The following is a 23,182-nucleotide window of genomic DNA, read 5'->3' as shown; positions in this document are numbered from 1 at the left end:
AAGATTGAAAGATTGGTTTAACATTTGATCAGTGTAATTCATCATATTAACAGTATCAACAAGATAAAAAAGAATGTGTTCTTTTTTTTTTTGAGACAGAGTTGCTCAGGCTAGAGTGCAGTGGCACACTCACTGCAACCTCCGCCTCCCGGGTTCAAGCAATTCTCCTGCCTCAGCCTCCCAAGTAACTGGGATTACAGGCGCCTGCCACCACGCCCGGTTAATTTTTGTATTTTTAGTACAGACAGGGTTTCACTATCTTGGCCAGGCTGGTCTCGAACTCCTGACCTAGTGATCCACCAGCCTCGGCCTCCCAAAGTGCTGGGATTAGAGGTATGAGCCACTGTGCCCAGCCATGAATATGTTCATTTCAATAGATGCAATGCTAATTTTGTTTAGATACTCACTTTAAGTTTTCTAATTCCTGTTTTCTCAATGGAGAAGAAGGTGGAGCTGGAATGAATTTATCTCCATCATGGCTTTTACTGCTAAAATAGAGGTAAGAGTCTTAATTATGAAGAGCAACAAATAAATAATTAAACGTAAAATTTTGTTTCCCTGTCCTTACTCCCAACTTTTTTTTTGAGACAGAGTTTTGCTCGTCGCTCAGGATGGAGTGCAATTGCACGATCTCAACTCACTGCAACCTCTGCCTCCCAGGTTTGAGTGATTCTCCCGCCTCAGCCTCCCAAGTAGCTGGGATTACAGGCGCACACCACCACGCCCAGCTAATTTTTTGTATTTTTAGTAGAAACGGGGTTTCACCATGTTAGCAAGGCTGGTCTCGAACTCCCGACCTCAGGTGATCCACCTGCCTTGGCCTCCCAAAGTGCTAGGATTTACAGAGGTGTCTCACCTCGCCCGGCCTCCCATGTAACTTTTTACAACAAAAGTGTAAAAGAGTTAAACAATGGAAATACTTAGTAATTTGGTAACACTAACATGTTAAAGCTATATTGTATATTAGTTTCTTCCCCCACTGCCCCCACCCCTCCAATACTGCTTTAAAAAATCTCTAACTGAAAACAGTATCTTTACTACAAAAGGGAAATAACTGAATATTTTCGCGCATTTCTCATTATTCTAATTACCCTGACCCCTCAACCCCTGCCTTTTCTTGAGACTGGGTTTTTGAGACTGTTGCCCAGGCTGGAGTGCAGTGTGGCATGATCATAGCTCACTGCAGCTTCAAACTCCTGGGCTCAGGCGATCCTCCTACACCAGCCTCCCAAGTAGCTGGTACTAATGGTGCCTGGCACCACACTCAACTAATTTTTTTATTTCTTGTAGAGATGGGGTCTCATTATGTTGGACAGGCTAGCTTCGAACTCCTAGCTTCAAGCAATCCTTCAGCCTTGGTCTCCCTTAGCACTGGGATTACAGGTGTGAGCCACCATGCCTGGCCCAAATTTTCTATAGTAAATATGTATTGATTGCTATTATAATCAAGAAAAAATGCTGGGATGGGAGATGTAAGTTTAACGATGCCATGTATAAAAAGCAGAATTTCCAGCTGGGTGTAGTGGCTCATGCCTGCAATCTCAGCACTCTGGGAGGCCGAGGAGGGAGGATCACTTGAGGTAAGGAGTTCAAGACCATCCTGGACAACATGGCAAAACCCTATCTCTACTAAAAATACAAAAATTAGCCGGGCATAGTGGCGCTGGGCCTATAATCCCAGCTATTTAGGGGGTTGAGGCAGGAGAATCGCTTGAGCCTGTGAGGTGGAGGTTGCAGTGAGTTGAGATCGTGCCACTGCTTTCCAGCCTGGGTGACAGAGGGAGACTCTGTCTCAAAAACAAACAAACAAACAAAAAACAAAACAAAAAGAAAACAAAAGAAAAGAAAGAAAGAAAAAAGCTGAATTCCCTATATATAATGGTATGTGTTTTGTCCTTACCAAAAGTTCTCCCAATTTCTATAGTCACATAATTTTTATTTACTTATTTTTAATTTTTTTGAAGAGATGGGGTCTTGCTATGCTGCCCAGACTAGACTTGAACTCTTGGCCTCCTCCAGCACCCTGCCTAGATTTGCATAATTTTGAATTTATACTAGAAAACCAGAAATATACAAAAATATTCTGGAGGTTAGTGATTATAGTATATTAAGAGGATAGACAGAGGATAATAAGAAATAAGCAGCTTTAGGAGTCAAGTGTTTATTTTAATAAATTTTCTGTTTTTTTGAGATGGAGTCTCATTCTGTCACCAGGCTGGATGGAGTGCAGTGGCATGATCGTGGCTCACTGCAACCTCTGCCTCCCGGGTTCAAGTAATTCTCTTGCCTCAGCTTTCCCAGTAGTGGGGATTATAGGTGCCCACCACCACGCCCAGCTAATTTTTGTATTTTTAGTAGAGACGGGGTTTCACCATGTTGGCCAGCTGGTCTTGAACTCCTAACCTCAAGTGATCTACCCATCTTGGCCTCCCAAAGTGCTGGGATTACAGGCGTGAGCCCCCACACCTGGCCAAATTTTTTTTAAAGCTGTCTGACAACAGGACTTCTTACAAATATCCCTCTTGTCAATGAAAAGCTGCTACTTTCTTTTTTGAGATGAAGTCTCACTCTGTCGCCAAAGCTGGAGTGCAGTGGCACAATCTCGGCTCGCTGCAACCTCTGCCTCCTGGGTTCAAGCAATTTTCTTGCCTCAGCCTTTTACAGGCAGGCATGAGCCACTGCGTCCGGCCAAAGCTGCTACTTTCTACTTTTCTTTTTCAAGGATCTCTCCTAACTTAGCCTTCACCTTATTTCTCTCTTCCAGAAAGACTCAGAAACATAAATACTTTCCTTTCTTGTTACGCAAAACAGAATTTCAGAAATTCAGGTTGAAGATTTTAGGAATTTACTTAAAGAACAAAGGGTTTACTAAAGAAGTCCTGAAAGGATTTTGCCAAAGGAGGTCACAAGGATTAGAATACCTGCAAGTTTCACTGCTTTCGCTGCTCTCTGTGTTCCCACCTAATTGATTACTATTTTTAGCCCCATTTTCCTGCTTTGGATCTTGCTGTTCTTCAGGTAGCAGCAACAAGGCATTTCTGAGACATATGGCTGCAAACTCCATACTGGCTACAGGAATGGCCGAAGACTGCCCATCACTTAAAAGAACAAAACCAAATTAGCTAAGTGGATAAAATATTTTAAAATAAGGCTCTTTTATTATGAGGAATAAAACCAATTGATTATAAATGAAAGCTATGCCTTTTGATAGGTAGAAATTTTAATATAAGCAGTTATAAAAGCATGCTAAAGAACCCAAATCCTAAGTATAGGTTGTAAATAGTATAAATAATGGATTGCAAGTATATAAATTACATACACTGTGTCTCTAGGAATGAGACCAAGGAGAAGAGATAATTTGATGTATATCACAATGTTAATGTTAACATACTAGAGAAACTGCAGACAAGGGCAACTGTAATGAGGGCAAGGAGAGGTATACTAAGAATGGGACGAAAGGGAAGAAAACAGATTTTCACGTTTGAGCCTTACTTTGGTTGATCCTTGCTTTCAAAAATGCCTCTATACACTTTGAAACACCAACATTACTTTTTGTCTTATAATTTCATTGACATTTTATACAACTTTCTGTTGGTTTGATATACCCAAAGAGAATCTTTACTAGAGAAAAATAAAATTTTGAAAAGTAGTAACAACTTTGAAATTGCTTTAAAACTTTGAAATGCTTTATCATAATAGTTTTAAAAAATATTCTTGCATTATAGTTTAACTAAATTAAGACTAAATTATTGTGTATCAGATATTTTTTAAACTGTGGAAAAACTTTTAAATGGTAGAGAACAATTTTCTTCTTTGACAAAAACAAATTAAGGCAGCTAATTATTTGCAAAGTTTGCCACTTTACAAATAATGGCAATTCCAAATTGTCAAATGAAGATTATACATGTGACAGCTTCTATACTGCTTTGGTTGCTTTATGTTTTAATACACCTTTTTTCTCTGAATAGTAAGAATTCCCTTTCATGTATTTTCAGTCCTAGGGACTATAAGAAAATACCCAAATGAAAAGTATCAATGATAACCAAAAGTACATAAAAAGGAAATACCAAGATGCCCTCTTCTGGACATTCTTAATAATGGCACTGAACAGACTAGGGTTTCCTAGGCCATCAATAATTGCAGCACCCATGGATGTAATAAACCAAAATCATGTTAGATAACATTCACTATGGACCTATACATGAGGGTCTGTTTGTTGAAATAGCAATAAAATCTAGTTACAAAGTGGTTCCTCCTATGCAATGATAAATCCTAATCATACTTTTATATATAAGTAACATTATGTAAACTAGTATTAAATATATATACACTTTTTCTTTGCAAAATACTTACTTATAAACAGTATTCTGTATAGACTGTGATGCCAAAACTATTTTACGATGATAGCCTTGACCAACAATAGACTGTACAATTCCTTTTTTGCTGGGAAGGCCTTTAGTTTCTTGTTCAGAAGTCTACAAAATACAAATAATTTCCAATAAATTTAAGGGAATTGTAAGATGTGGTATAAAAAATGAGGGAATATCTCTCACAATTACTCTAAATTTAAGAAAGTTCTTAAAGTCAATGAGGACTTTTTTTGGTGATAATGGAAACATGTTTGGTATTAGTGGAAAAAGTATATAAGGCTGAAAATCTGGGATATGTGCTACATTTTGTTTACATGAGATTGGAGAAAATTCTACGAACAAAATCCAATTCAATTATGTCCCAATAATTTATTTAGAATCATTTACTTAGAATATTCTAGACCTCCAGTACCATGCTACATGTTACAGGTACTTTGACATCAGAGTAAGGAAAATAAGAGAGCCCAAAATAGTGTAAAAGAAAAAGGAAGTCGCTCCACTTCCTAAACACAGATCATTTCCTTCTTAATTCAAAGTATTAATTACATTGTCAACAATATATAAACTTTAATAAGCTGTACGTGGTAAAAATTTACATGGACACAATACTTGCCTTCTAGGAAATTAAAATCCCCAAACCAAATGAATAAACATTAAACTGAAAATAATAAAAGCTACTTACACATACATAGTACTTTAGGATATTTGATTAAGATGTATTATCTCACTACAGAGCTCACAGTGATAATTTGATTAATGATCCCCCTTCATTCTAAGTCTCTAATTTGGTTGGGTGCAGTGGTTCATGCCCGTAATCCCAGCCCTTTGGGAAGCTAAGGCAGGAGGATCACTTGAAACCAGGAGTGTGAGACCAGCCTGGGCAACATAGTGAGACCCCCCTGTATCTACCTTTTTTTTTTTCCTTTCTTTTTTTTCTTTTTTAAGACAAGGTCTGGCTCTGTTGCCCAGGATGGAGTACAGTGGCATGATCTCGGCTCACTGCAACTTCGGCCTCCTGGGCTCAAGTGATCCTCCTGCTTCAGCCTCCCAAGTAGCTGGGACTACAGGTACAGGTGTGTGCCACCATGACTGGCTAATTTTTCTATTTATTTTTTTTAGAGACAGGGTTTTGCCAAGTTGCTGAGGCTGGAAAATTTTTCTTTAGGCTTGGGTGCAGCGGTGTTGTCTCGGCTCACTGCAACCTTCACCTCCTGAGTTCCAGTGATTCTCTTGCCTCAGCCTCCCGAGTAGCTAGGATTACAGGCGCCTGTCACCACACCTGGCTAATTTTTGTATTTTAGTAGAGATGGGGTTTCACCACATTGGCCAGGCTAGTCTCAAACTCCTGACCTCAAGTGATCCGCCCGCCTCGGCCTCCCAAAGTACTGAGATTACAGGTGTGAGCTACCGCGCCCAGCCAGAAAAAATCTTTTATTTATTTATTTTTTTGAGATGGAGTATCACTCTGTCACCCAGGCAGGAGTGCAGTGGCACAATCTCGGCTCACTGCAACCTCCGCCTCCCAGGTTCAAGCAATTCTCCTGCCTCAGCCTCCTGAGTAGCTGGGACTACAGGTGGGTGCCACAACAACCTGGCTAATTTTTTGTATTTTTAGTAGAGATGGAGTTTCACCATGTTAGCCAGGATGGTCTTGATCTCCTGACCTTCTGATCCACCCGCCTCAGCCTCCCGAAGTGCTGGGAATACAGGCATGAACCACTGCTCTAGGCCAAATCTAAAAAATAAAACTAAGCTGGGCAAGGTGGCTCACACCTGTAATCCTAGAACTTTGGGAGGCTGAGGCGGGTGGATCGCTAGAGCCCAGGAACTTGAGACCAGTGTGGGCAATGTGGTGAAACTCCACCTCTACAAAGAAATACAAAAATTAGCCAAGTGCGGTCATGCATGCCTATAGTCCCAGCTACTAGGGAAGCTGAGGAGGGAAGATCGCTTGACACCAGGGAGGTCGAGACTGCAGTGAGCCATGATCACGCCACTGCACTCAAGCCTGAGTGAAGAGTGAGACTCTGTCTCAAAAATAAAATAAAATAAAACAAGTCTCTAATTTACCTGCAGGTGGAATCCCAAGTAGTTATCTTATAATGACATCCAAATTCTCACATACCAGAACAAACCGGAGTCAATCAATATGAATTTGCAAAACTAATCTCTGCCCTGCAAAAAGTCTTTTCTCTAAACACAAATGTTTCTGTACTGTTACTTATTGCTCCTGAATGTAACTTATTATAGTTGCACTTCCATATATGACTTTTAATAAAGAACATACTACACAGTGCTAAAAAATACAATAAAACTTCTCTGATCAAAACTAATTGTGTATAGAGAAGGCCATGCAATATTAATGAAAAAGTGGATATTTTAAACCATTATTGTGAGGACTTCCGTTCTGACTTCTTTTCCTAGTTGTGGTAATCAATTTACATGGATTCATCCATATTCTCTTCTCTTTTCTTATTGCTAAGGCCATGAAAACTGATCCAAATGGCTAGATACGAAGATGCAACAGATGAAAACAAACTGGCCCACGATGGAATGGAACTAAAAAACGTAGAATAATAATCCATACCTTCAAGCACCGATAGCCAGAAAGTGTGCCAGATAAGTTTTAAGGTAAAAGGATCATACATAATTAAAATATTGGGACTATTTTTGTTTAGCAGATCTTTTCCCATATTTATACACTGCCCAGGTAAATATAAGCCTTGCCTCTGCCAAGTCTGAAATAATATGTACCAGATATTCAGGACAAAATGTCCTCCTTAGCATAAACAAGTTAATTTTTTTAAATCCAAAATGAATTTATTTCTGAAGGTACAAACTACTTTGTTCAGCATACCTCCTGTCCTGACTAAATAAAACAAATTTTATGGAATTTTATTTGGAGTTTACAATTACTCGTATTGGGATTTGTCCTCTGATTTTATTAGTGTTTTGGGCTTGTTTTTACTGTTTTTTAGGTTACCCTAAAGTTTTTTTTTAGGAGGAGGAAAAGCACAAAGATATTACTGGTGGCAAGTTTCCTATTAGCAGCACAAATTGTGTGTGTTCATGAAGTTATGGCAACCGAAAGTCATCTTTACCATTTTTTAAAAATTACAAATTTACAACTTTTCTAGAAAAAAAAACAGGACTGGCAGCATATTAATATGGAAAATACTTATCCTCCCCTCCCGCTCCTTCTCCTCTAGGGGGAGGGGAGGAGACCTTGTAAGCTTAATGGCTTCTGTAGAACACAATCCTAAAAGTACTATTTCTAAAACCAGTTAATTTAAAAAGAAAATATTAAACTTTACAATCTTTCCCTAGTCCCAGAAAAAGGTAACTCCCTGGTTTCCAGTAAATACCAAAGAAAGGCGCCCAACACTTAAATTTATAAACAGATTAAAGAGAATAAGCAATTTCTATTTGCTTCTTTTATCTTTAAGAAGTATAAATTCTGGGCCGGGCGCGGTGGCTCACGCCTGTAATCCCAGCACTTTGGGAGGCCGAGGCGGGCGGATCACGAGGTCAGGAGATCGAGACCATCCCGGCTAAAACGGTGAAACCCCGTCTCTACTAAAAATACAAAAAATTAGCCGGGCGTAGTGGCGGGCGCCTGTAGTCCCAGCTACTTGGGAGGCTGAGGCAGGAGAATGGCGTGAACCCGGGAGGCGGAGCTTGCAGTGAGCCGAGATCCCGCCACTGCACTCCAGCCTGGGCGACAGGGCGAGACTCCGTCTCAAAAAAAAAAAAAAAAAAAAAAAAAAGAAGTATAAATTCTGCCTAGAACTGTTTATCAGTTAAGAATTAACCAATAAGAAAGTTGTCTTTTAAAAAGCAAAGTATAATTAAATCATTAAAGTCTTTCAAAGACAAATCACTCATCTCTTCCTCTGTTGGTATACTCAAATCACAAACTACCTAAGTACCATGTATGAAAACTAGCAAACACACTTCTTTAATCCCCTTAGTTCTTGTACTTCTCAGAAACTGCTGTTCAGCGGGAGGAGAGCCTCAACATCTTATATCACCTATGGTAGGCATGCAAGGTAAAACCTCCAGGTACCATACCTTCCCAATGTCTATACACACCCAAAAAGCACAGCAAGGGCAGGGCATGGGGTAGCAAATGGAAGACACACATATCTGGTAATTCTGACACAACCCGTCTTTCCCCTATCTCCTACTGATCCCTCCCAAATTGAAATTCAAAAGGCTTCCACCAATTGCCATTTAGAGATTATCTAAGCATGGAAATCAATGTAAACTGGCCTATTCCCATAGCTACCATGGGCAATCATGTGTCAGAGAGAAACAGCCTGGTAATCCATAAACTCTGTATCATTTACTGAAACCAAAGTAAAACCCTCAGGCATTGATGGAAATCCAGCTTAATGCAGCTCTTTCCACATTATGTTATCAGAACTTTTTTTTGAGACAGAGTCTCTCTGTCACCCAGGCTGGAGTGCAGTGGCGCGATCTTGGCTAGCTGCAAGCTCCGCCTCCTGGGTTCACGTCATTCTCCTGCCTCACCCTCCCGAGTAGCTGGGACTACAGGCCCACAACGCCCGGCTAATTTTTCGCATTTTTAGTAGAGACGGGGGTTTCACTGTGTTAGCCAGGATGGTCTCGATCTCCTGACCTCGTGATCCACCCGCCTCGGCCTCCCAAAGTGCTGGGATTACAGGCGTGACCACCGCACCTGGCTGTTATCAGACCTTTTCTAATCACCAGGCTACACACTATTCTTACGCCAGCAGATGCATGTATCCTGACCCCTGGAGCAGCTAGCAGACCACTGTTCCAACATACATGACTTTCTCACTGGCTTCAACTCTTTAATGTTGCCATACTTACTTACCAAGAATGAGAATGTTAACAAATGACTTTTTAAATTTTTATTTTTATTTTTTTTGAGACAGGGTCTCGCTCTGTTGCCTAAGGTGGAGTGCAGTGGCTCTATCTGGTCTCACTCCAACCTCCACCTCCCAGGCTCAAACGATCTTCCCGCTTCAGCCTCTTGAATAGCTGGGACTACAGGCGCTCACTGCCACACCCAGTAATTTTTTGTAGAGATGGAGGTCTCACTATGTTGTCCAGACTGGTCTTGGACTCCTGAGCTCAAGTGATCCACCCGCCTCAGCCTCCTAAAGTGCTTGGATTACAGGCGTGAGCCATTGCGCACGGCCAACAAATGACTTTTTGAAACTAATTTCCCCCAGTGGTTAAGAAGAGAAGACTATACATTTCACGCCTGTAATCCCAGCACTTCGGGAGGCTGAGGTGGCTAGATCACATAAGGTCGGGAGTTCAAGACCAGCCTGGGCAACATGGTGAAACCTCGTCTCTACTAAAAATACAAAATTAGCTGGGCGTGGTGGCATGTGCATGTGGTCCCAGCTATTTGGGAGGCTGAGGCAGAAGAATCGCTTGAACCCGGGAGGTGGAGGTTGCAGTGAGCCGAGATCGTAACATTGCACTCCAGCCTGGGCAATAAGAGAGAAACTCCGTCTCAAAAAATAAATAAATAAATAAATAAATAAATAAAAAGAGAAATGTCTTATGTATGTTTCCAAGGTTTTTTTTTTTTTTTTAACCATTCCATGTAGTAAGTGGGGAGAAGACAGGGTTTAAAAAGATACCCAAGTAGCACTCACCCCCTTATTGGCAGCAATGCAGCATTCAGCCAGCCGTAGCCAGAGGCGAGGATTTGCATGATAAACCTGAACAGCTTCAATCAGACATTCGAAGGCAGCAAGAGGCCTTCCAATGTGAAGAAGCTGAATTCCACAGTTATACAGCAACTCATATCTCTTATTGGTTAGTAACGTACACATGGGTCTTCCTGAAAATTTTTTACCTAGTGATAAAAATTAGATAAGAATACATCATTAGATTTACAGTAATAGTAACCTTGAAAACATTTACTCCATTAAGTACTTAGACACTACCATGTTTAACACCAATAATCCTGATCTGAGTTTTAATAGCTCTCGCCAATGGTGGTCTCCATTCTCAACCCCACAAATATTCTCCAGAGTCATCTTAGTTGTCTATGCTAGCAGAGCCAGAGATGTCTCTTCTCATTTGCCAGCTCCTCAGGCAACAACGTTCCAGGAAGGCAAAGATAAGTGATGGGACCCGCTCTCACTCCTTTGCACCTTATACTACTTTTCTACATTTTTACTTTATTCTCTTTTATTTTTTATTTTTATTTTTGTAGAGATGGGGGGGTCTCACTATGTTGCCCAGGCTGGTCTTGAACTCCTGGACTCAAGTGATCCACCTTGGCCTCCCCTAAATGTTGGGATTACAGGCATGAGCCATCTTTCCTAGCCAACATTTTTAGAGTCTATATAAAGTTTCCACTTTTTAAAATTTTCAGCTGGGCACAGTGGCTCACGCCTGTAATCCCAGCACTTTGGGAGGCCAAGGCGGGCAGATCACGAAGTCAGGAGTTCAAAACCAGACTGGCCAAAATAGTGAAACCCCATCTCTACTAAAAATACAAAAATTAGCCGGGCATGGTGGCATGTGCCTGTAGTCCCAGCTACTCGGGAGGCTGAGGCAGGAAAATTGCTTGAACCTGGGACGTGGAGGATGCAGTGAGCCAAGATCACGCCACTGCACTCCAGCTTGGGCAACAGGGTGAGACTTCGTCTCAGGAAAAAAAAAAAAAAAAAAAAAAAAATTCATCTTGGTTAACCATTTTATTGTCATGTGTTCATGACAATAAAACCTATTCAATGTTTCGGTCTACCTTGATTTATAATACATTTGCCATCAATTAAATAGGTTATTATTATTATTATTATTATTATTATTATTATTATGGACAGAGTCTCGCTCTGTCACCCAGGCTGGAGTGCAGTGGCATGATCTCGGCTCACGGCAAGCTCCGCCTCCTGGGTACACGCCATTATCCTGCTTCTGTCTCCCAAGTAGCTGGGGCTACAGGCGCCTGCCACCATGCTCGGCTAATTTTTTTTGTATTTTTAGTAGAGACAGGGTTTCACTGTGCTAGCCAGGATGGTCTCGATCTCCTGACCTCGTGATCTGCCCACCTCGGCCTCCCTAAGTGCTGGGATTACAGGCGTGAGCCACCGCCCCTGGCCTAAATAGGTTATTATTTTTAAAAGCTAAATAATTGTTTGATTTTAGGCATTTCAGATCAAGGATCCATATGATAATGAATATTAAAGGATAAATGTCAGGAATTTGCTTAAAGACCGTCAGATGCTGCCAGTAGTATCACATGTAAAACTCTGCAAAGAATCTATAACAAGCCGGGCACAGTGGCTTATGCTTGTAATTCCAGCACCTTGGAAGACTGAGGTGGGAGGATCACTTAAGCCAGGAGTTCCAGACCAGCCTGGGCAACATGGTGAAACCCTATCTTTACAAAAAACACAAAAATTAGCCAGGTACAGTGGCATGTGTCTGTAGTTCCAGCTACTCAGGAGGCTGAAGTGGGAGGGTCACTTGAGCCCAGGAGGCAGAAGTTGAAATGAGCTGAAATCACACCATTGCACTCCAGCCTGGGTGATAGAGCTAGACTCTGTCTCAAAACAAAACAAAACAAAACAAAACAAAACAAAACTATAATAAACCTAGTTTGGCACAGTCATGTTGTGACTAATCAAACATTCTGGTATATAACATTACCACAGGGAATTACTCATTTTCAAATCAATGAAAAATGGAATGCAACTTAAATTTCTGGATAATTCAAAATTACTCTTAACACCTTGTTATTGCTCTTCAAAGTAGCAATATCTACTAAAAATCCCCAGAGCCAAACTTGTTGGGTAAGATCAGAGTTAACTATATGTAAGTCTACATGGTGGGTATTTTAACCACATTCATGCTTTTTAAATCATGCTTTTCTGAAGTAGTAAATACAAACTGTCCCCCAGTACTGGGCTTACCTGGATCAGTGCTACCTGCACTGAGCTGTGCACAGACATTGTCATTCTCTTGCAGAGCCTTTTTAAAGTAGAATATTCCCAAATTGTGCTTGCTCATGGCAAAATGGATGCAACCAAGGTTATTCCAGAACATGCATCTCAAGCATTCACCTGAAAAAAATGCAAATAAATTTGTCCACAGAAAAATTTTAATGTTGATGTCCCTCAGACAAGAATTGGGCTCATCTTGCACGAGTTAACACTGTTACCATTCCACTTACTCCCTAAAGAACAGTTCACAAGGCATTTGAAATTTAGGAAATATCTGAAAAATTTTAAAACTCCTTTTAAAATCTCTTTTATTAAAGGTGATACAAATTATTTTAAAAAAACCAGTCCTATTTTGTTACTCTAATTTTGTGGATTTTTTTTTCCTTTTTTAAAACAATTTTTAAAATAGGGTCTCACTATATTGCCTACCCTGGTTTCGAACTCCTGGGCTCAAGCAACCCTTTCACCTTGGCTTCCCAAAGTTCTGGGATTACAGGCATGAGCCACCATGCCCAGCTAATTTTTAGTAACTGTAGACAAATGATACAAAAATGCAAAAGACAAAAAGTGTTTATCAGTAATATAATGTATATGCATTGCATCCACTAATGAAATATTATGTAGAAATTAGAAACAAGGAAGCAAGTATGCATGGAAACAACCAAAGCATATTAAGTGAATAGCAAGAATATATAGAAAAGAACAGAGTGAGGCTGGGTACGATGGCTCATGCCTGTAATCCCAGCACTTTGGGAGGCTGAGGCGGGTGGATCACTTGAGGTCAGGAGTTCGAGACTAGCCTGGCCAACATGGTGAAACCCCACCTCCACTAAAAACACAAAAATTAGCCAGGCATTGGGCTGGGCGCAGTGGCTCACGCCTGTAATCCCAGCACTTTGGGAGGCCGAGGTGGGCGGATCACGAGGTCAGGAGATGGAGACCATCCTCGCTAACATGGTGAAACCCCGTCTCTACTAAAAATACAAAAAATTAGCCGGGCGTGGTGGCGGGCGCGTGTAGTCCCAGCTACTCGGGAGGCTGAGGCAGGAGAATGGCGGGAACCCAGGAGGCAGAGCTTGCAGTAAGCCGAGATCGCACCACTGCACTCCAGCCTGAGTGACAGAGCAAGACTCCGTCTCAAAAAAAAAAAAAAAAAATTAGCCGGGCGTAGTGGAGGGCGCCTGTAATCCCAGTTACTCGGGAGGCTGAGGTAGGAGAATTGCTTGGCCCTAGAGGGCAGAGGTTGCAGTGAGCCGAGATCGCACCACTGCATTCCAGCCTGGGTGACAGAATGAGACTGTCTCAAAGAAAAAAAAAAAAAAAAAAGGAACAGAACAGAGTATGTCTATTAAACTGTAAGTCTCCACTGATTTTAATTCACACTTCTTTAAATACCACTGCAGCTAAGCATCTTTTCATGTTTGGGAATTTGTATTTTTCAGCCTGTGTTGCCTCTTGTCTTTCACCCGTATTAATTTTTTTCTTTCTCTGAGACAGGGTCTCATTCCATCGCCCAGCCTACAGTGCAGTGGCATAATTAGGGCTCACTGCAGCATCGACCTCCTGGGCTCAAGCAATCCTCATGCCTCAGCCTCCTGAGTAGCTGGGACTACAGGCACGGGCCACCATGCCCAGCTAATTTTTTAATTTTTTTGCAGAGACAGGGTCCCTGTGTTGCTCAGGCTGGTCGCAAACTCCTGGAATCAAGTGATCCTCCTGCCTCGACCTCCCAAAGTGCTGAGATTACAAGTGTGAGCACCGTTCCTGGCTGATCTATTGCTTTATTTGGTTACAGATGTTTTTTCTGTTGGTTACTAGTTGTTTTACATGTTATAGAAACCTTCTGTCACATCTGTTTCAAATATTCCTGCCCACCTCTGTTTGTCATTTGTTTCGTGACTTGGTTCAGTATGTGTATGTGTGTTTACATTTTGAATCATAAAATGTTTAACATTTTAATGTGATCAAATTTAGCCATGTTTTCTAAATTCTATGGTACTTAGATTTTGGAAAATGTTTACTCAAGCCTTCTCCATCACAAAATTAAAATATTCATCCAAGTTTTATCTTACTGCTTTTATTTATTTTTAAATGTTAATCCTTCATCTCTCTGAATTTTATTTTGGCGTAATGAAAGTAATCTAAGCTTTAATATTCTCTTTTCTTTTTTTTTTTTTTGAGACGGAGTCTCACTCTGTCGCCCAGGCTGGAGTGCAGTGGCGCAATTTCAGCTCACTGCAACCTCTGCCTCCCGGGTTCATGCCATTCTCCTGCTCAGCCTCCTGAGTAGCTGGGACTACAGGCGCCCGCCACCACACCTGGCTAATTTTTTGTATTTTTAGTAGAGACGGGGTTTCACCGTGTTAGTCAGGATGGTCTTTATCTCCTGGCCTTGTGATCTGCCCGCCTCAGCCTCCCAAAGTGCTGAGATTACAGGTGTGAGCCACCGTGCCCGGCCTTTAATATTGTTTTTCTAAATAGCTACCCAAACATTCCAAAACAATGGCCCTTAATGACATAAAATGCCTGACTAGAATGACAAAATTAATAATCAGGATATTTATTGTTTAGCACTTAAAATCTAAAGGTAATCTTCTGACATATTTTTAAATTAAGCAATGACAATATTTAAAAGAGGAAAACTAGACTGAGCTCGGTGGCTCACACCTACAATTCCAGCACTTTGGGATCCTAAGTAGCTGGGAATACAGGCGCATGCCATCACGCCTGGCTAATTTTTGTATTTTGTGTAGAGACGGGGTTTCTCCATGTTGGCCAGCCTGGTCTTGAACTCCTGACCTCAAGTGATCCGTCGGCCTCAGTCTCCCAATGTGCTGGGATTGATTATAGGTGTGAGCCACCACGCCTGGCCATCTTTATTTATTAATTTATTTTTAGAGACAAGGCCTTGTTCTGTTGCCCAGGCTGGAGTGCAGTGGCATGATCATGATTCACTGGAACCTCGAACTCCTGGTCCTCCTGCCTTGGCCTCCCAAAGCATTAGGATTACAGGCATGAGCCACCACTTCCAGCTCCTGCCTTCATTTTAAAGATTGACAATGTCAATACTGACACCTACATGAAGAAAATCCTAAGCAAAATTTTCTCAAAGTATATTATCTTTTTAGTTTGAGGGATCATTGCATGTTGTGTGTTAGTGGACCTCTGAGGAGAAACTATGACAATGAAAACAAAACACTAAAATTGAGCAGAATTAGAAATGGGTATTTAGAACAGAAATAATACCCACAAGAGAATTATAAGGAAAAAGTGCCTTTCTCCATCCTCCATCACTCCTGTGAACTGAAAGGGTAAATAGGGGAAGGTCTCAGTATGTTTGCATGTGTATTCTGTGCGTGTATCTGGGTAGAATCCAAAAAAAACAAGACAAAACATACCAAAATACATATTAATTGTTTGCATTTTAAACTTGAGGCAAAATATACATTTTCAATAGTTTATCCTCATTTCTCGAATAAGTGATTTTCCTTCTCCTGCCCCATCAAATACTGATGATATAAACCTAAATGACAGTCACAATTTTTACTTTCATATTATCATTAGTATCAAAGGATTTGTAAGACTTTTTAGTCTAAATAGAGGCAAGAATATGTAATAGGCCGGGCACGGTGGCTCACGCCTGTAATCCCAGCACTTTGGGAGGCCGAGGCGGGCGGATCACGAGGTCAGGAGATCGAGACCATCCTGGCTAACACGGTGAAACCCTGTCTCTACTAAAAAAAAAAATACAAAAAATTAGCCGGGCGCGGTGGCAGACGCCTGTAGTCTCAGCTACTCGGGAGGCTGAGGCAGGAGAATGTCGCGAACCCAGGAGGCAGAGCTTGCAGTGAGCCGAGATTGTGCCACTGCACTCCAGCCTGGGCGACGGAGGGAGACACTGGCTCAAAAAAAAAAAAAAAAAGAATATGTAATAATACTTATCTTCCTAGCATTATAGAAAGATTTTTGATCTAGGTAATGATCTAAAGAAGTCATATTAATTGGGCAAGTTACTGAAAAAAATTATATTATTAACTGGCTTTATGGCAGAAAAAAGTAAAAACATATTATTTACTTAAAAGGCCTCACTTTTCTGGTATAGATGGTAATTCACTAAAAAAAAAAAAAAAAAAAAAAAAAGATGAAAGAAAAATTAGGTCTCACTTCACAAAGCAAAAGTCCAAGGATCTTACAAAAACAAATGAAAGGGCCAGGTGCGGTGGCTCACACTTGTAATCCCAGCACTTTGAGATGCTGAGGTGGGCGGGTCACTTGAGGTCAGGAGTTCGATACAGCCTAGGCAACATGGAAACCTTGTCTCTACCAAAAAATACAAAAATTAGCTGAGCATGGTGGTGCGTGCCTGTAGTCCCAGCTACTCAGGAGGCTGAGGTGGGAGAATTGCTTGAACCCGGGAGGGAGGTGGAGGCTGTAGTGAGCCAAGATGGTGCCACTGCACTCCAGCTCAGGCAACAGAGCAAGACTCTGTCAAAAAAAAAAAAAAAAAAAGAAAGGAAAGAAAGGAAGGGAAGGAAGGGAAGGAAGGAAGAGAGGGAGGGAAGGGAACAGAAGGAAGGGAAGAGAAGGAAGGGAAGGAAAGGAGGGAAGGGAGGGAAGGGAAGGAAGGGAAGAAGGGAAGGAAGGAAGGAAGGAAGGAAGGAAGGAAGGAAGGAAGGAAAAGAAGGAAAAGAAAGAAGGAAGGAGGGAAGGGAGGAAGGGAGGAAGGGAGGAAGGGAGGGAGGGAGGGCAGGCAAGTCAGGTTAAAGAAAAAAGACAAGCTATCTGGGCCAGGCACAGTGGTGCATGCCTGTAATCCCAGCACTTTGGGAGACTGAGGTCAGCGGATCACTTGAGCCCAGGAGTTTGAGACCAGCTTGGGCAACATAATGAGACCTTGTTTCTACAATAAATAAGCCAGGCATGGTGGTGCATGCCTATAGTCCCAGCTACCTGGGAGGGTGAGGTGGGAGGATCGCTGGAGCCTAGGAGGTTGAGGCTGTAGTGAGCTGTGATTGTGGCACTGCACTCAGCAAGACCCTATTTCCAAAAAAATAAAATAAAATAAAATAAAAATAAAAAAGGTGGGGGAGGGGAGGAAAGCGATCCAACCTGGAAAAGTAAAAAAAAGAAAGAAAGCAAAGTGAAAGCAAGAAGTAATGAGGTTTCTTCTAAAGTAGAAACAAGAATTCCTGGAAATTTTTGCACCAGAAATATTAAAACATTTTCATTAAAAAATTAGCATAAATCACTCAAAAGACTGGGTGTTGGGAGGTGGACAAGCAAGAAGGGGTAGAAGAGCAAGGCAAAAAAAAGTTAAAATTTCACAATTTTCTTTTACCTGTTTTCATGAATCCTGGATGCTCAGCAATGTTTGAACTATTTAATAGCTTCACGGCTTTTCGATAATTACCTCTTAAGTACTCAAAATTGCTTTTAAGAAAGAGAGAGGGTGCGGACTGTAGAGAAAATATAAAAGTTACTTATAATTTGTTTTCAGACGCCTAATGTAAGATCTTAATTATACTGTTGTACTGACGTGTTCAAAACCATAAATGAATCAATTAAGTCAGTCACAAAAAATTATATAGTCTCTAAATTTTTCATTGCTCTCACAATCAAAAAAATTGAAACTTGTCAGAGAGCACTTTGTAAAAATAATTACTAAGGGTCCACCTGAAAAAATAAATATAGGTATATGTATAAGAATACAGTCTGTAGATTATCAACTGATTGTGTTCATCTACTACACTACTAACTGAAAACCAATTTGACAACACAATCTATGTCCTTCATTTTAATAGTTATTAGAGAGACTGGTGATCTTTCTTACTTTTTAGGATACAAATGCACCTTTCATTAGAACCTACAGAGATATAAATAATCAAATACTTTTCCAAATAGGAAAAAAAAAGTGCCATTCTACAAATAGAAGAATTTTCAACAGAATGCCTTATTTGCAAGCACTAATCTTGCTGTTCCAAAGATCACGTTTTGAATGGTAGATCACCTTTCACTTCTCCTAAGAATCCTCCTGGTGGAGGACCCTAGATAGTACTACCTGTTTAGAGTACGAAAGCATGCAGAGAGCTCTGGAGACTCAACATCCATCCAGGAGGACATCTGGAATCCTGATTGAGTGATTGATTGATTGAGACGGAGTCTTGCTCTGTCACCCAGGCTGGAGTACAGTGGCATGATCTCGGATCACTGCAACCTCCGCCTCCTAGGTTCAAACAATTCTCCTGCCTCAGCCTCCTGAGTAGCTGGGATTACAGGCATGCGCCACCATGCCAGGCAAATTTTTGTTTTTGTTTTTGTTTTTAGACGGAGTCTCGCTCCGTTGCCCAGGCTAGAGTGCAGTGGCGCGATCTCGGCTCACTGCAACCTCCGCCTCCCGGGTTCAAGCAATTCTCCTGCCTCAGCCTCCTCAGTGGCTGGGATTACAGGCGCATGCCACCACACCTGGCTAATTTTTGTATTTTTAGTAGAGATGGGGTTTCACCATGTTGGTCAGGCTGGTCTTGAACTCCTGACTTTGGGATCCGCCTGCCTCAGCCTCCCAAAGTGTGGGGATTACAGGCGTGAGCCACCATGCCCGACCTAATTTTTTTATTTTTAGTAGAGATGGGGCTTCCCCATGTTGGCAAGGTTGGTCTCAAACTCCTGACCTCAGGTGATCTGCCTGTCTCAGCCTTCCAAAGTGCTGCAATTACAGGCATGAGCCATCACGCCTGGCCTATTTATTCACTTAATTTAGCAACAGGCTTTCCTTCTAAATCCTAGTTTATCCTTTGCTCTGCCTCCCACCCACCCCAAAGTTCTGGTCACTAAAGAAACAAGGGCTTTCAGTGCTTATTCTTAGTGGTAGCTATTCCTCCTGAAGTTTTCGCCGATTTAGGATGACTATTAATTTTCAATTGTCTTTCCTCTATGACTGTGGTCTCCTTTAAGGCAGGAATTATGTCTTTTTTTTTTTTTTTTTTTTTGAGAATGAGTCTTGTTCTGTCGCCCAGGCTGGAGTGCAGTGGCGCGGTCTCGGCTCACAGCAAGATCCGCCTCCCGGGTTCACACCATTCTCCTGCCTCAGCCTCCCGAGTAGCTGGGACTACAGGCGCCCGCCACCACGCCCGGCTCATTTTTTGTATTTTTAGTAGAGATGGGGTTTCACTGTGTTAACCAGGATGGTCTCGATCTCCTGACCTCGTGATCCGCCCGCCTCAGCCTCCCAAAGTGCTGGGATTACAGGCGTGAGCCACCGCGCCTGGCTAGGAATTATGTCTTTTATCATTAAAAAAAAAAAAAAAAAAAAAAGTTTGATAATGGGTGGCTGGCTAACTGGGCCTTTCCCTCTTAGGCTCAGGTCTAGGCCACAATTGTTCTCAAAAATCACTAGCATATTAACTAACTCAGTGACTAATCTGGATCCTGCCTGAGATTTTTAACCATATTTTCTCATGACTTTATACTTCTAAATTTATAGTTTTTCTAGAAGCATCAAGATTGTTCACAATTCTGTTTCTTTCCTACACCATCTTAAAAATTATCAATGAAAGATTAGGGTGGAGGGAGTGGAAGGAAGAAGTAATTCTATCTCAGTTAAATCGAAGGTACTGTCAAGCCAAAAGTCACTTGGAAGGGGCAGGTTTTGGCTATAATTTGACTGTTAGATTTTTAATAAATTTTTTTTTATTTAAAAAATGTTTTTTGACAGGGTCTCACCCTGTTGCCCAGGCTAGCGTGAAATGACACGATCTCAGCTCACTGCAACTTCTGCTTCCCAGGTTCAAGTGATCCTCCCACTTTAGCCTCCCTAGTGGCTGGGACTACAGGCACACGCCACCACACCCGGCTTATTTTTGTATTTTTAGTAGAGACAGGGTCTCATCATGTTGACCAGGCTGGTCTTGAACTCCTGACCTCAGGTGATCCGCCCACCTTGGCCTCCTAAAGTGCTGGGATTACAGGTGAGTCACCACCTGGCCATAAATGTTTTGAGTATAATACTAAAAAATTCTAAAATAACCTAAATGTCTAATATTAGCAAAATGTTTAAGTGAGTTGTGATAAACCAGTCACAGAAAAATAGGCAGTTATTTAAAATGGTGGTTTTGAAGGTTACATAAAATAGAAAAGTGCTTGTTGTAATTTTAAGTAAAAAAAAAAAAATTAAACTATAGACACAGTATTATTACTACTTCCCAACTTTAAAATAGCAAGGTTCATATCTGGCAGTATATGTAAAAGACTAAGATAAATTATTTAAACCTGACAATACCCATAGTCTAAATAAGAAAGACACAAATTGAAAAACAAAAGTCCAGAAGAAACTTACATTTCCAGCTGTATTCATGACTGACTTGATTTCCCTTTTACATGCTTTCAGAGACTTCATTTGGATATAAGCTCGTACTTTGTACTGTCAAAGGGAAAATGTTAGTATGTTAAAACTATGGTGGATTTACATACAGTTTTACTTTCTAGTTAAGAAAACCCAATCTATTTACAACATAGTTACACTAATTACTTGCTAAATCAAGTTTACAATTTTAGAAAATATGCTATTTTCACTGTACTCTTCGAATATACTTCAAAATACTAAAATCACGGTAGAATAAAAACTTAGCCAGATGTGGTGGCTCACGCCTGTAATCCCAGTACTTTGGAGGCCGAGGCAGGTGGATCACCTGAGGTCAGGAGTTTGAGACCAGCCTGGCCAACATGATGAAACCCTGTCTCTACTAAAAATACAAAAAATTATCCGGGTGTGGTGATGCGCACTAGTAATCCCAGCTACTCAGGAAGGCTGAGGCAGGAGAATCGCTTGAAACTGGGAGGCAGAGGTTGCAGCGAGCCGAGATCGCACCATTGCACTGCAGCTTGGGTGACAGAGTGAGGCTCCGTCTCAAAAAACAAACAAAAAACTTAAATACTCAAGTTCCGGGCAAAAATCCTATCAATCCTCTTCTGCACATGGCTAACAATGACTTTTTAAAATTCCAGTTGATTTTATCATGCAGTACATTCCCGTGCCATTTCTCTCAAACTTTATTTATAGAGCAATTTAAATAAATTATATTATCCTCTTAAGAAAAATGTATTTAGGATAAATGTGCTTCTAAACTACAATACTTCAAAAGACAAACAAATATATGCACCTTGAATTATTGACTGCTTCCAATGATCTATCTCATTGCTTCATTTGTCATAACTACAATTAAATATATGTGATGTATTGCCCCCCTTTAAAATTTATACTACCTGATGTATCTTTGATTTTGCAGCTTCTATTAGAGCTCCACTTTCAGCTTTATGATTAGATCCATCTTTGTTGTTGTTATTACCAGTCTGTAGGGTGATGAAACAAAGTTTATCAAAATTAAATATTTTTGACCATAATTTAAATCAGTGATTTCCAAGTGAGCTAATCTAAATTACCTAGAGAGCATTTTCAAAATGTAGAATTTGTGGGAAATGGTGGTTCATGCCTGTAATCCCAGAACTTTGGAAGGCAGAGGCGGGCGGATCGCTTGAGCCCAGGAGTTCGAGACCAGCTTGAGTAACATGGCAAAATCGCATCTCTACAAAAAATACAAAAATTAGCTGGGCATGGTGGCCATGTACCTGTAGTCCCAGCTACTCAGGAAGCTGAGGTGGGAAGACTGCCTGAGCCCAGGAGATCAAGGCTGCAGTGAGGCGTGATTGTGCTACTACTATACTCCAGCCTGAGGTGGCAGAGCAAGACCCTGTCTTTAAAAAATGCAGAATCCCAGGTCCCACTCCTAGAGACTGAGGTTCAGTAGTCTAGAGTGGGTGACAGGAAGCTCTACTCATGAGAAGCTCACAGTCGAACGTAATAATGAGCTGGTTTTATTTATTTACAATTTTAATTTTTCATAGAGACGGGGGTCTCCACTGTGGCCAGCCTGGGCTTGTTTTAAAAAACATGAATATTACTTTAAGCAAAACTCAGAATATCTTTCTAAAACCCAGAACAGATCTACCCACTTCTTAAAACTTTCTCTGTTATGAACACTGCCAATCATATCAAATTTGAACTTTCTAGTATTCAAAGTTCTTCAAGCTATCACTCACACTCATATTGCCAACATCATCTCCCACTGCTCTCCTCTGCATTTCTCTGGTACTGTTCATTTCATTACCAGAAAGGTCTCCAGCACACCATTAAGCTCATACCTTTTGTGATATTCTCTGCCAGGCTGGTTATCCTGCTCTACCCCTCCTTGTCTGACTTGTCAAACTATTAACCATCTTCCAAGGCCCAAAACAAACATCCAAATTCCTTTGAAACATTCCCTAACCTCTTTCACCTCTTTCCTCCTTGTCCATGACCAGATGTTGCCCAATTTATCTCTTCCTAGACATGAGATCCTTGAAAGCAAGGACTGCAACGTTTTTGTTTTTGTCACCTTAGTACCTAGCAGAGTACCTTAGAACCGGGCAGAGCACATAAGCATCTGCTAAATTAAATTATATTTAATCAAATTTTACAAGTACTGAATATAAATATTTTACTACACAATGTTTCGGTATAATGCTAAGGTTATTCAACTGAAATCCCTTATGAATACACACTTAAATTGAAAAAAGTAATGCCAGATGTTTATTTTCTTTTTAAACATCAAGAATGTACACAGGCAAAAAGGTATTGGCAACGTTTCCTGCAAATACTCCTTTTAAAACAAAGGGACAGAAAACGGAAGTAAGAAGGGTCATCCCTTGATAACCAGAAGCACAAATAAAAGAAAAACATGAGACCCAGGATATACTCATACTGGGCACCAAGTCTCTCACCAGAACATGGTGAAGCTTAAACATCATAAATGTATGCTTTTT

At 40.9% G+C, this 23,182-nt stretch overlaps 1 protein-coding gene and 1 long non-coding RNA gene across 16 annotated transcripts in view; one reads left to right on the top strand and one right to left on the bottom strand.

Annotated features, from left to right (window-relative positions):
- CNOT10 (CCR4-NOT transcription complex subunit 10) overlaps nt 1–23,182 on the bottom strand; it is an 88,688-nt gene that overhangs the window by 35,978 nt on the left and 29,528 nt on the right. For 5 of the 15 annotated variants that reach the window (XR_007095661.1, NM_015442.3, NM_001393367.1 and 2 more), the window contains exons 6-13: nt 21,587–21,673; nt 20,661–20,744; nt 17,667–17,784; nt 12,299–12,448; nt 10,028–10,230; nt 4,354–4,475; nt 2,922–3,098; nt 408–488 (exon numbers count right to left, since the gene is read on the bottom strand). Coding sequence is in view for 13 of the 15 variants with exons in the window: in NM_015442.3 (NP_056257.1) it covers nt 408–488; nt 2,922–3,098; nt 4,354–4,475; nt 10,028–10,230; nt 12,299–12,448; nt 17,667–17,784; nt 20,661–20,744; nt 21,587–21,673 (1,022 nt within the window). In the remaining 2 variants the exon portion in view is untranslated. Of the gene's footprint in view, nt 1–407; nt 489–2,921; nt 3,099–4,353; nt 4,476–10,027; nt 10,231–12,298; nt 12,449–17,666; nt 17,785–20,660; nt 20,745–21,586; nt 21,674–21,763; nt 21,871–23,182 lie in introns of those variants that run through there. The other 10 variants (NR_046352.2, NM_001256741.2, NM_001393369.1 and 7 more) reach the window with 3 other exon arrangements.
- On the top strand, nt 441–7,263 carry CNOT10-AS1 (CNOT10 antisense RNA 1). The gene is made up of 2 exons (NR_046718.1): nt 441–499; nt 6,854–7,263. It is a non-coding gene; the product is annotated as a CNOT10 antisense RNA 1 (long non-coding RNA).

This window comes from Homo sapiens, chromosome 3, assembly GCF_000001405.40.
Source record: "Homo sapiens chromosome 3, GRCh38.p14 Primary Assembly".
Classification (NCBI taxonomy): Eukaryota; Metazoa; Chordata; class Mammalia; order Primates; family Hominidae; genus Homo; species Homo sapiens.
The sequence above is the reverse complement of the archived record's forward strand: the minus strand, read 5'-3'. Positions and strand labels throughout refer to the sequence as shown.